The following is a 13,471-nucleotide window of genomic DNA, read 5'->3' as shown; positions in this document are numbered from 1 at the left end:
GGAAAAAGAGTAACTTTATAGTGGAGAAGCTTGGCAGACAGCACTTTGATCAAATGATCAAAGACCAAAAAAATGGTATGCCATCTGAGACGATCTGGTGAGAAGAGCACAGCATCACTTCTATGATCTTCCTGCCAAAGATGCCTACCTCAAATATAATCATATTAGAGCAGAACTGTCTTGGAATTTTAAAAAGTGTCAAGGTTATGGAAAAGTCAGAAGAGACTGTCACAGGTCCAGAGTGAAGCCACATTAGAGAGAAGTGATAGCCAACGGCAATGTGTGATTCTGAGCTGGAACCTTTTGCTACCAAGTGCGTTATAGGGACTTTTTTTTGAAACTTAGATGGGGTGTGGGGATGAGATGGTGCTTCATATATATTCATTTCTTGATTTTAATGGTTGTATTGTGATGGTATGGGGAATGTCCTTTGTAGGAAATAGACGGTAATGTTTTAGTGGGGCATGAAGCATCAGGTCAGAAACTTACTCATATGGTTCAGAGGGGAAAATGTTCTGTTCTTGAAATGTTTCTGCTACTTTGAGATTGTTTGAAAAGAAACAAAAATAATTAGTTTACCTGAGAAAGCTTCAGTTTACCGAGGTATTAAACTAAAACAGTAGTTGAGAAATCTGTTAATGTTCTTAGGTATCATTTTCCAAAGGTGTATATGCCCTCCAACAGAAACAAATCACATGTGTTGAGGCTATTTGTTCTAAAGTGTAATCTTTTCACATTAACTTTGTACAGCTGGTCTCACATATGGCACAATATAAGGTGAACGTTAGAAATTAATAACTTATGACATATATGCTGATGTAGGAGAACAAACCTCACAACACTTTGCTAAAAATAAACTCTACTCCTAATAAAAATTGCCACTATTTAAACATAGAACATCTCAAATAATGTTAGAATAGAAATTATGAATGTTACCTTTAAAGAGTTGTTATTCTTTTCTTTGAAAATAGCATTTTCCTGGCATTTTTGAAGTTATTGAGGTTATTGTACTAATGTGTCCCTAATCCCAAACCAGAAGCTTTTAATAGCCTTGCAATTATATACTTCTGAGAACCTGAAAGGGAATTTAGATACCTTGTTTCATTGATCTTGAAGCCCAAAGTGCTTTTGTAACTTAGCCAAAAGCAATGAGATAGCTAATAGCTATAACTGTTTTCCTGGTTTGCATTTCAGCGTCCCTCCAGCATGTGGTTTTTCTTCATAAAAAGTCCTCAAAATAGGCCCCTGGCAGGAGGGTGTTCTTGGGAGAGAAGGGTGGCAAAAAATGTTCACACTTTAAAAATGTCTGCACCTAAACTATGCAGAACAGGAATTTAGGGCCACAGGGCCATTGGAAGATTATTAAGAATGATCACATTGAAGAATCAGTATTGCTGATGTATCTGTTCAAAATCAAGGTTTTCAACTTTGGTACTGTTGGCATTTTCCGCTGGATAATTCTTTGTCGTGGCAAGCTGTTATCCTAAAATGTTTAGCAGTATCCCTGGCCTCTACATATGCGGTGGGTGAATTGTACACCCCAAAAAGATATGTTTAATCCCTGATCTTGGGTACCTGTGAAAGTGACCTTATTTGGGAGTAGGGTCTTTGCAGATGTAATGAACTAAAATAAGGTCATACTAAATTAGAGTAAGCCCTAAACCTAATGACTGGTCTTTATAAAAAAAGGAGAAGGAGATTTGAACAGAGACAGAGACATATACAGAGGGAGGATGATCATGTAAAGACAGAGGCAGATATTGGACTAATGCAGCTACCAACAGCCAAGGAATGCCAAGGTTGCCAGCAACTCCCAGATGCTAGGCAGAGGCAAGGAAGGATTCTTCACTCAAGAGTTCAGAGGAGGAAGGTCCTGCCAACACCTTGATTTCAGACTCCTGGCCTCCAGAACTGTGAAAGAATACACTTTTGTTGTTTTTGCCACCAAATTTGTAGTCATTTGTTATGACACCTAATTTGTGGTAATTTGTTATGAAAACTTATATAACCTACTAAATAAATGTAGTAATCTTCCCCCAATTGTGACAAGCAAAATGCTTTCAGACATTGCCAAATGTCTCCTGCGGGGCAAAACTACCCTCAGTTGAGAGCCACTGAACAAAATCCCAACTCTTATCGAATAGACTAACAATTGAAACATTTAACAAATCTACAGTCTTTAGAAAGAATAGAAATCTTAGTTATTAACTTTCGGGGTTTTATTTTTTAATAAGTTTTTATTTGGCATAAGTTACTGTTAAAGTATCTTAGTGACCCATGTAGAGGTGATTTGAAACAGAATTTTTACATTGCCCTTTGAAACGTATATTATTGCCAAAATTATATTTTTTTAAAGAGATCTATTTATTTCCATTCCTATACCATCTGGTTTTTAAAATAGTTTTACAAGACTGGTAAAAGTGTGCATTGTACTTGTCAGTAGGCCTTAAAAAAAAAACCTTGTCTGTAAAGGCTTCTTGTCCAATAGCTTCCATACTGTGCAGAAAATATCAAGAGTTCAAGAGTTCTCTGTGTGGAGTGTTATCTGTCTCTGACTTAGAAAGTCTGACTTATAAATGTTCCCATCAGGATTACTATAAGTTTTTTGTTTTTTTTTTGGAGACAGAGTCTCACTCTGTCATCCAGGCTGGAGTGCAGTGATGCGATCTCAGCTCACTGCAACCTCCGACTGCCGGGTTCAAGCAATTCTCCTGTCTCAGCCTCCCAAGTTGCTGGGACCACAGGTGCATGCCACCATGCCTGGCTAATTTTTTGTATTTTTAGTAGAGACGGGGTTTCACCATGCTGGCCAGGCTGGTCTCAAACTCCTGACCTCATGATCTGCCTGCCTCAGCCTCCCAAAGTGCTGAGATTAGAAGCGTGAGCCACCGCGCCTGGCCCTGATAACTAGAATTTTTTGACAAGCTTTTTTTTTTTTTTTTTTTTACTTGTTTTTCTTCTTTTTTGGATGAATCTCTCTGGAGTATAATTTCCAGGACTCAGAGATGCCTTATTTCCTTTTTCCTCTTTCTGCTGCATTTATGGACAGGGGATAGGGCTACTCTGCTCCTAAAACCCATAATTCTCCATGTGTTGTGTATAATCAGTATTTTACTTAGTAATTAGGTATTTTAAAGCTAAGTTTTAACCATATCATGGCTTAAGTGGCCTTTACAATTTGGCATGGGATCACATGGTTATATATAACATTGCTTCCATGAAGAAATATATTCTTATTTCCAAATCTCTATTTTATGAATAATATGTAATATTCATTCCTATCAGTGTTTCTGTAATTGGGTTGCACATTTATAATGCTGTATATCAGAATGTTAAAATTAAGTACTGCATGTTGATAGCAATCAGTATAGAGATGAGAAAGATAAAGAATAATATTTATTCTAATAGTTGCTTCTTACATTTTTTTCTTAATGAAGTTCAGACCCTTCCAAGATTTTAACATATAATAAAGGGATTTTGGGGGCTTTAGAGAGAATGTTTATTCTTAATCAGAGATGTAGTTGCATTTATTTCCTGATTTAAAAAAGCAAATCTTAAGACCCAATGCAGTTTTCTAGTGTTACTTATTTTTCTTCCCAACTTACTTCAATTAAATGAAGTCCTCAAAATGAAATATGTGAAAATGTTACCTTAATACCTTTAAGTAGAATTATAGCATGTTTATTTCACTTGAAAGTGTTAATAGAATAAATTATATGCCCTTCTAGCAACACATTTTAAAATATAATATGTGAAAAACATTTAAGTAGAGACCATTTTGCTATTTCACAGAAAATTATAACAGGTGAAAATTAAGATGTTACTCACTTCTTTGATGCAGTAGTCTTATGCCTCAACTGCCCTGCAAAGAGAGAAAAAAGTCTTTTAATCTCTTGAGCAACTATTTGATGTTACTCTTTCATGTTGATATTTTTGTCTCTACCTGTAAAAGAATGCTATATGGAAATTTTCCAGCAATGATTAAGAAAGGGTGAGTTTGATAACTTGAGAAATGCATGTTATGATCTTGGCATCATCACTCATATTTATACAACTTTTCTGATCCTCATTTTTTTTCCCTATCAGATGAGGTTTACAGTGGAGACATATTTTCAAAGCACTGAGCTGGGCATATGGCGTTTGGAAACCCTAAGTAACAGTCAGTGACAGAATTTGGATTAAGACCCCAAATTCCTTCCTCTCCATTTTATACTTCTTTTTGTGACTCAGCCTAATCCTTTTAGGGAAGTATTCAAACCACATCTGCCTGAGTCTCCTGCCAATTTCCTTTAAACCCCAATGTTAGCTGAATCAGCCTCCTGCCAGCTGTCCTCCAACTGAAAGCAATAAGGTTTACATTCTCACTTTTTTGGTTAAAAAAATCTTGCCTAAACAAAGAACTTCTTTTACTGTCCTAATACCTTCTGTAGGTTGCCCTGCTTTTCCACTTAAGGCATTTCTGTATATTGCCTCTTTAAGGGACTTTTCCCAAGGCAAAAGTCACACAGCAGTTACACGTGTTCTTTTGCACTTGGCACTTTTTCCGTGGAACCTGAAGCTTGACCAAGATTAGTGCCTTAAAGGGAATATGAAGTTAAGGTACTGGTGGTGTTTGGTTTATGGATGTCTGATTGTATTTTTAATATGTGAGCCAGCAATTGTAAATGGCCTCAACAGCTAGTATATTCTGGAAATACCCAGACTTCCCTACCTCTGGAAACTTGGTGTTTCCTTCCTTTCCTATCCTTCAACTGTCATCAGCTTAGATTCTGCCAAAGCCAAACTTAGACTCATTTTCTCTCCTTGTTCTAACACAGGTCCCTGTTGAGCCCATCCATGACAAGTCCTAGTGATCAGTAAGGGAGAATAGCCCCAGCATTGGAGCTCATCTTCCTGGAATTATCTTCACCCTTCTTCCACCTCCAGGCTCAGGCTTCATACTCTAGCTCATGTGCCAATTTGTATAAAATATACTGGCTATAGTCAGTTATATACTGACTATAACTGTAACTATATATACAGTTATATATTAATGCATAGTTATATACTATGCATTAATGGGTGCTGCTCGAAATTTTAATGACTCTCAATCTCAAATTATGGACCCAAACCCCTACTATTATGATCCACATAGCCCTTTAAGGACCAAGTTTGCCCAGCTTCATATTCTCCATCAGTACCAAGTGTGCATGAGATACTGTGTATATTCACTTACTTAAGTGGAATAGGAATAAGAATGACAGAAAGCATTTTTTCTTTAGTTTATGTCACTCTTATTGTTACTGATACTGTGAACCATAATAATAAATGATGCTGGAAATCTCAAAAAGGTTATGGGCTTGTTTCAGGGATAAAGAGTATAATAAGAACCCTTAAGATTGTATTCTGCTGTACAGTGGGGTATCCCTGGGGAGGAAAGCAAAGATATCAAAGCTTACGTTTTGCAGGCTTCACAGAACAGATGATATAGTAGAATAGCGGTTTCCTTCTCATCCACCCCCGCCTGGCTTCCTGTCCATAAGTGAATAGCATCTGCCTTGATCTTCCTGAAATATTTTGTCTTTAATATAACCTCTAAGTATGCTAGCCCCAAGAATGGAAACAAGGAATTTTCATTAGGAAAATAACATTTATGGGAGCCTTTCTTTTAAGCAGTGTGTATATGTGTGTTTGTGTGTGTGTGTGTGTGTGAGAGAGAGAGAGAGAGAGAGAGAGAGAGAGAGAGAGAAAGAGAGTTGGGGAGGGTGAGAGGGAAGAGGAAGAGAGAAAAGGGGTGAAAAGACAGAGAAGGAGGGTGATGGGAGGAGAGGGAGAATGGGAGAATATGGGTACAAATATGAATGAATGAGTGAATGAATTAATGAATGAATGAATACTAGATGTGACTGGAGGAAAGGTTTTGTATACTTGATAGCCTAGTGAGAAACTCAGGACATATTTTCCTATATAATCATTGTGAGAGGGTAGTCTGATTTAATATGTTATTTAAGGACTTTTTTTCTTTTTTTAAAAATTATTATAAGTTCTGAGATACATGTGCAGAATGTGCAGGTTTGTTACGTAGGTATACATGTGCCATGGTGGTTTAGAAAGTGCATTAAACTTCTAAAGCTGTTTTAGAAGTGATTAAACCTTTGGAACACAGCCTATTGGAGAGTTAGGTTCTGCTAGGTACGTTATTTTACTAGGCGATATTGTAAAAGCAATGTTCTAAAGCTAAAGTAACAAAAGTGATCACTAACTTTTACATATAAGAAAATGAAAGAACTGGAAATCTAATCTTGTACTAGAAATAACTTTCTGAGCAGATTATTTTTAAAAAGTGTAATAAAAATGGCTCAGGTTTCATTTAAATTGAATGGGATTTAATTTAAATAATGCAGCCAAGTTTACAATAATAAGCTTTTTTTCCCCCTTCTCTGACTTCTTTGATATATTTGAGTAGTTTCCTGGAAGGTAAGGTCTGGTACTCTAAAATAAAAGGAACAGTAGGCCATGTTGTTGGCCAGGTGTGGTGGCTCATGCCTGTAATCCCAGTACTTCGGGAGGCCGAGGCGGGCGGATCACGAGGTTAAGAGATTGAGACCATCCTGGCCAACATGGTGAAACCCCATCTCTACTAAAAACACAAAAATTAGCTGGGCGTGGTGGCGGGAGCCTGTAGTCCCAGCTACTCGGGAGGCTGAGGCAGGAGAATTGCTTGAACCGGGGAGGCTGAGGTTGCAGAGATCTGAGACCATGCCCCTGCACTCCAGCCTGGGCAACTGAGTGAGACTCCCATCTCAAAATAAAAATAAAAATAAAAATAAAAATAAATAAAATAAATAAAGTAACTTCGAAGAGAGTGAGAGAGGTGGAAATAGAAACCTTGTTTCTTTAATTAAAGTTTTCAAAAGGAGAGAGAAGTGACAGAGGCAGAGGAAACTGAAAGTCAGGTGTTAGAGGGCATGCCTCTTGGTAACCGTAGCTAGAAAACAAATAGCAACCCAAACTGGCCCGTCAGCCATTTTATCTTCTCTGTTCCCTGGTGCCCAGTGCTATCTATTTTTTTTTTTAATTCTCTTTATTAAGGTCTGCCTGTCGCTCTTCTTTCATCTTCTCTCTCTGCCTCTTCATATCTTTCCATTTTCTGGCTCTCTCATCTGATTCCTTGGTATCTTCAGTTTATTTATGTTTTGTAAAGAAACTATAATAGTAGAATAAAAATGGAAGGCGTTATTTAAAAAAAGCCATCTGATGTAAGTCAGTAGGGATTTTTAGGTTAAAAAAGAAAAAAAATCAGAATTTTTTTCACATTTAATAGCCTAATATATCTCTAAATGTCTTTGAAGTATATAAGACTTTGAGCTTCCTGAAAACACAGTTTTTCATTAATAGTTCACAACAGTGTTTTAGCTGTTTCAAAGTAGTTTTTAGATAGTCATTTACTCTTGATAAGAGTGTGTAATCATGTGTTCTTTCTCTTATAGATTCGCCTTTTACAAGTCCACCTCTCAGAGAAGAAATAATGGCAAATAACTTTTCCTTGGAGAGTCATAACATATCACTGACTGGTAAATGTATCATGTTTCAAATAATGCAATTCGAAAAAAAGGGTTTAAGCAATTTTTCTTAAACAAAGCTACTGCTTTTTGCTTTGCGAAGTGGTAATCCCTGTTCCTGGCCTGGTGGGAAAACATACCAGTAGTGAGCTGGGAATCTAATGTGGTGAGGACGTTTTACTGGGGGCGCACAAAGGAGGAAAATATACCAGACATGCCAAGGCTAAGAATGGCTCCCCAGAAAATGGATACCTGAGAAAAGGGAGAATCAATTTTGATTTGCAGATACTCTTATGTTTTCATTAATTCTTGCTGGTACATCCATTACATCACTCTAGGTCAAGAAGAGAATTTGTGTATCTGTTGGAAAACCTTTAGCCAGAGAAATTAAAGATGATATCAAATGAGTCACTGTGCTAAGGAGAAGCAAGCAAGGAACTCCAACATGGCAAAACCCTGTCTCTACTACAAATACAAAAATTAGCTGGGGATGGTTGTGGACACCTGTAGTCCCAGCTACTTGGGAGGCTGAGGCAGGAGAATCACTTGAACCCAGGAGTTGGAGGTTTCAGTGAGCCGAAGTTGAGCCACTGCACTCCAGCCTGGGGGACAGAGTGAGACTCTGTCAAATAATAATAATAATAATATAATAATAATAATAATAATGTCTTCATTTAACTTTGGATTTGTTTTTGACAAAGATTTGTCATTAATTTAGAAACATTAGATCTCAGAGTTGGGCACTGAATGGTTACATTTCCATGTAGGTTGTTGCTCTAGTGCCTTCCCATCAAAAAGTTTGGTCTTAGAAACTACCTTTGCTGAACTACAGAATTTAAATTTGAAGATATATTTATAATTTTTAGTGTCAATGTAAAATAAAAATATCGAGATGAATCTCTAAACAAAATGTTTTATTTGGTAGAACAGAATTGGAGTTCAGGGCTTACACAGAGAGTGGAATGGTCTTCAGTATGACTGAAAACCAAAGAGAAGTTTAGAGGTTTTATTAGAGAGAAATGTTATATATTGTTTTGGAAGAAAACTCATTAGCACTAGCAAAGTTTTTGGGAGCTAACAAGTTCTGACTGGTGAGTGATGGTGGTGGGTAAATTAGTCTTAGAGTCATGGTGGTTTGTTTCAGAAGCTGCTAGGTAAAACTGGTCTTAAAGTTATACCAGGTCATTTCAGCAGCTAGCTTGCAGTATTAGCCCCGGGCAGGTGCTTTGTGTCCTAAGTGTTTTTTTTTTTTTTTTTCTTTTTTACTGGGTCTCTGGACTCTAATTTAGTTGAAAATGACAAGATAACTCCAATTCCTGATTATCAATTTTTACCTTATGAACCATAGACTTTCTTCTTACTGCTGTTAAGATTTTTAACCTACTATTTGTAAATGGAGTGTTTTCATATTTTCATAACATTGATATGTATCAATATTGATTTTATCATTATTCATTGTTGTCTAGAAACAATACTTATAACATTTCTATGTTGTTACTTATTATTTTCTCTTTCCCTCTGGCCATTGTCGAAGTTAATCTCTCTGTTAGGATAAAATGTATCTTGTAGAGAGATTCAAATACAATACGTTAATTGTAAATTTTGGACCAGAAAGATTTTGGTCTGGCTCTTGACATACATACTTATCCAAAGATTCTCGAGACTGGAAAACATATGGATTCTTGTGCCTGGGAGAATGAAAACATGGCTTTTGATTCATAAAAGCTTACTTATTTAATATTTTTAAAATATTGCTAATTATTAACAAACTCATGATGTTGACTATGTACCATGTTTGTATTTCTAAGTAACTTAATTCTTATAACAGCTCAATGAGGTGGGTACTATTACTATTTGTAATTTGCAGGTGAGGAAAGAGAGGCACAAAGAGGCGAAGTGAACTGACCAGGATCACAGTTCCTGAGTTGGAGCTTATGGTTTTCAATGCAGGCAGCTTGGTGCCCAGTCTGTGCTATTAGCCATTATGCTTTGCAGCCTTTCTTTCTGGGCATAATGCCCAGTTACTTGTTTCTTTTAACAGCATTATTAAATCAAGTATATTTATTTTTAGAAGAATGACATTAGTTTTGAAATGATGTAGTAAACAATGAAAATAAAGCTATTTTCTAGGTTTATTGCTATTTCTAGGCTTATTTAGTAATAAAGCTATTGCTTTAGAAGTTGCATTTGCTGCCTGCAATCCCAGCACTTTGGGAGGCCGAGGCAGGCAGATCACCTGAGGCCAGGAGTTCGAGACCAGCCTGGCCAACATAGCAAAACCCCGTCTCTGCCAAAAATACAAAAATTAGCCAAGTGTGGTGGTGGGCACCTGTATTCCCTTCTACCTGGGAGGCTGAGGCAGGAGAATCACTTGAACCTGGGAGGCGGAGGTTGCAGCGAGCCGAGATTGTGCCACTGCAAGAGTCCATCTCCCCTGCCCCCCCAGAAATAAAGAAATTGCACTTGCTTAATCATAAATTTGTGAAAGTAATTGACTTGACTGAAACTAAAAGTATTTTTTCTGCTCTCAGAGGTTTTAAAACAGATCTTTTGGTAATGGACTATTTTTATATCACTGTACTTAATTTTCCAATGTCCATAGTATTTGGAATTCATTGTATTGTTTGTATTACCACAATATATTTTTTTTGTTTTTTTCCTCTCTGCATATTAGTGTTTAGTTGCTCAATCAGTGTGTTATAGTTTAACAGAAGAGATTGAAATAAAAATAAACAGCTGACAGTTTCCTTGACCAACTTGTTAACGTTGGAATCACCTCTCCTGTGTTGACCCAAAGGCACATTTTATTTACATGTTGAGATGTGAGCAGCTCTCCCACAAGGTCCTTGTGAGCCAAGGAGATAATATAGGCAGACATTAGAGGTGCAGATGTGCAAATTAAGGCACAATGTAAGATTCGGGAAGATTAGTCAAGATAAGGAAAAACAACCACATTGTCTAAATCTCGGCCAGCAAGAGGTCTAGGTTAGGACCACTCAGATTCTAGGGGCAGGTGATTGAGAAGATTGAGAAGAAGAAAAGAAGTGAAAATACTTTATTGCAGAAAAGATTCTAGCATGACTCCAATGCTGCAAGTGTTAGGATATTTTTTCAGAGGTACTCATCAAACTTGATATGTAGACTGTTGATGCACAGAGAAAAAAACTGAGGCCTAACATTCATAGAGAGTCAGAGAAAGTAAAGATGGAAGAGGGATCTACCCATAGCAACACAAGTGGCAGTGGCTGCGATCAACTTTTGTTTTTTTAATATCAGTTTTTTTTGTTTTTGTTTATATTAACAGAAGTATTGATGTTTGGGGCTGGATGATTCTTGGTTATAGGAGGTTGTTTGCAGAATTGTAGGTTGTTTAACACCATTCCTAGCCATTACCCACTAGATGTGAGTGACACCTGCTAAGTTATGACAGCTGGATATGTCTCCAGATATTGTCAAACATTCCCTGGGGTACAAAATTTTCCCCATTTGAAAATTATCCCCACTGTTCTATACATTAAAAATGAGAGTCCTGCATGTTTCCCATCCCCTTATCTTGGGAATACACATGATTTAATAATCTTGTGATTAACATTTAGTAAAGAATCTCACCATAAAGTTAGATGATGGTGCTGAATCACAGGCACAGGACCTCACACTCTGTAAGTGGGACCTGTCTCTTCCCTCCCTCCTACTGGTGTTCAAATCCTTCCTCTCTCTAAGAATGGAGTCAAGATCCCATCTTCAATAAAGCACATATCAGAGAAGCGCATATGTTCCTGCTTCTCTGATATGTATTTACTGTATTTTTGTTAAATTTTAATTCTGCAAGTAAAAATGAGTTGTTTTGAAAATATTAAACATTATTTTCAGCATTAGAGTAAATTAGAAAATCTGAAAACCCTCCTGCCACACCTACGAGTATCTAAAATACAGTAAACATTCTTTTAAATATATAGCAATGTACACAAAAGTAAAGAAGTTTCTACCGATCAAAATTGGTGATCAGGGCATGAAACCCGTTAACTGATATTGTGTTAGGTTTCCTGTGTTTGTTGCCAAGATATTTGAGTTTTAAGAGCTACAAAAATATAAAAAACAAGGCCTTGAGTTCATGCAAGGAGGAGAGTTGGAACTGAAAACCTGAAGAAAACTATCCTTCCTAGGCTGTAAATATAGGGAAAGGTTTGATTTAGGGAAGAAAATCAGCCGACAGCACAAGATGACAAGTTGGCTTATTTCTTTTAAAGTTTTGTTAGGCATTTAAACCAAAAGATTCCCAGTGTTTCCTGCCAGTTAAAAATAATGTGAATAAAAATAATTTTTTTAAACCTGCAAATCCCCAAAGATTTCCGTTATTATTTAAAGACGTGGGCCTGTCCTCAACACAGTTTAAATTGCAAATTTACATTACCTGCATTATACTGTACAGGAGCCTCCGAGCTGAGAAATAACACAAAAATGACCCTGGCAGGTAGTACTTCCACAGGAAAGCAATGAAAAACCCTCTGTGGAAGAATGCATTGTCCATCCTGGTGACATAATCCCTGCTGTTACATGTCTCAACATGTCACAAAACAAAAATATAAAAAACAAGCACACAGTCCCTAACAGAGCTAAGGAGCAGTAGGATTAGACATTCCAGAGCTTCAGATTATAGAAAATACTAGGTAGAGAAATAAATATCAAAAACATGAGAATGAATATTATACTGTTTTTTAAAAAGACAAAGCAGGTTCAAAAAATATCCAAATAGAACTTCAGGAGGTGAAATAAAAAATGTGACTGATGAGTTTCAAGTCTCATTGAATTACCCACCATTTCTGTCTCTCTTCTCTTCTCCTCTTTTACAATGGTATACGCTGTTCAATGTGTTTCTTTCCCATGCTGTGTATGTGTGTGTGTGCATGTGTGCATCCATAAAAACTAGTATTGTTTGTTTTCTTTAGTTTTAGTGCTATTAGTCCATATGTATTCTGAAAATTGATTTTTGTCATTCAACATTAGTTTTTGGAGATCTAGTCATATTGCATATGAATCTAGCTTTTTTTTTTTTTAATTTGTATGCACAGTATAAATACACCAGCTTACTTAGACATTTTTTTCCTAATGGACCCTAGTTGGCTAATATATTTTTTTGTTATAAACCATGTAGCAAGGGATACCCTACATATATCTCTCTGGGCATAATTGTGAATGTTTCTCTAGGATAAATACCACAAAGTAGAGTTGCTCAGTTAGAAATTATGCACATCTTTATTTTAACATATACTTCCAGATTGGCCTTCAAAACATCTTGACAGTTGGCCCCTTTCCCTGACCCACGTACTAGGCTTATATTTTATTTTTTGAATTAATTTAAATGAGGTAGGCATAAATTTTGGATACTGAATTTTTACTTTTTATAGAAGTTGCGAATATTTTTTCCCACTTTAAACTTTAAACTTTTATGTGGTGTTTTTTAGTTGTGAAGAAGTTTCATTATATTTCCTCCTATTATTTGCATACTTTTCCACCTTTCACTTTTTAACCCATTTATGATATAGTTTTATGTTTTGTGTGTGAGAAGGAACTAATTTTATGGTTATTATTTTGTACTGTTAGCCAGCGTCTCAACTTTCTTAACTGAATAGTTCTCCTTTTCCTGATAGCTTTGAAATAGCACTCTAATCATATTTCAGTTCCCAAACTCTGTTCTGTTTCTCTACTGTTACATTGTTTTACAAAGTTATTAAAGTACTTCCCAAAGTAAGAAGTACATTTTACTTTGCAACCTGATGCACCAACTGCATGTTCACACACATATGAAACAGAATATTCATCGAATAACACCTACACCTAATAAGCTTGTTATACTCTGATAATTTCTCTTTTACTCCAATCCATTAAAAAACAAATCTGTTGATAACTATTAAATTGATTTCCTGATTCAC

At 36.3% G+C, this 13,471-nt stretch overlaps 1 protein-coding gene across 3 annotated transcripts in view; it reads left to right on the top strand.

The window, feature by feature from the left end:
• The window catches only part of EMB (embigin), a 47,154-nt gene that overhangs the window by 7,649 nt on the left and 26,034 nt on the right, over positions 1 to 13,471 (top strand). For all 3 annotated transcript variants that reach the window (XM_011543146.3, XM_047416702.1, NM_198449.3), the window contains one exon: positions 7,470 to 7,553. In XM_011543146.3, the coding sequence (XP_011541448.1) occupies positions 7,508 to 7,553 (46 nt within the window). In that variant the 5' untranslated portion in view covers positions 7,470 to 7,507. The remainder of the gene's footprint in view (positions 1 to 7,469; positions 7,554 to 13,471) is intronic.

Source organism: Homo sapiens, chromosome 5 (genome assembly GCF_000001405.40).
Source record: "Homo sapiens chromosome 5, GRCh38.p14 Primary Assembly".
NCBI lineage: Eukaryota > Metazoa > Chordata > Mammalia > Primates > Hominidae > Homo > Homo sapiens.
The sequence above is the reverse complement of the archived record's forward strand: the minus strand, read 5'-3'. Positions and strand labels throughout refer to the sequence as shown.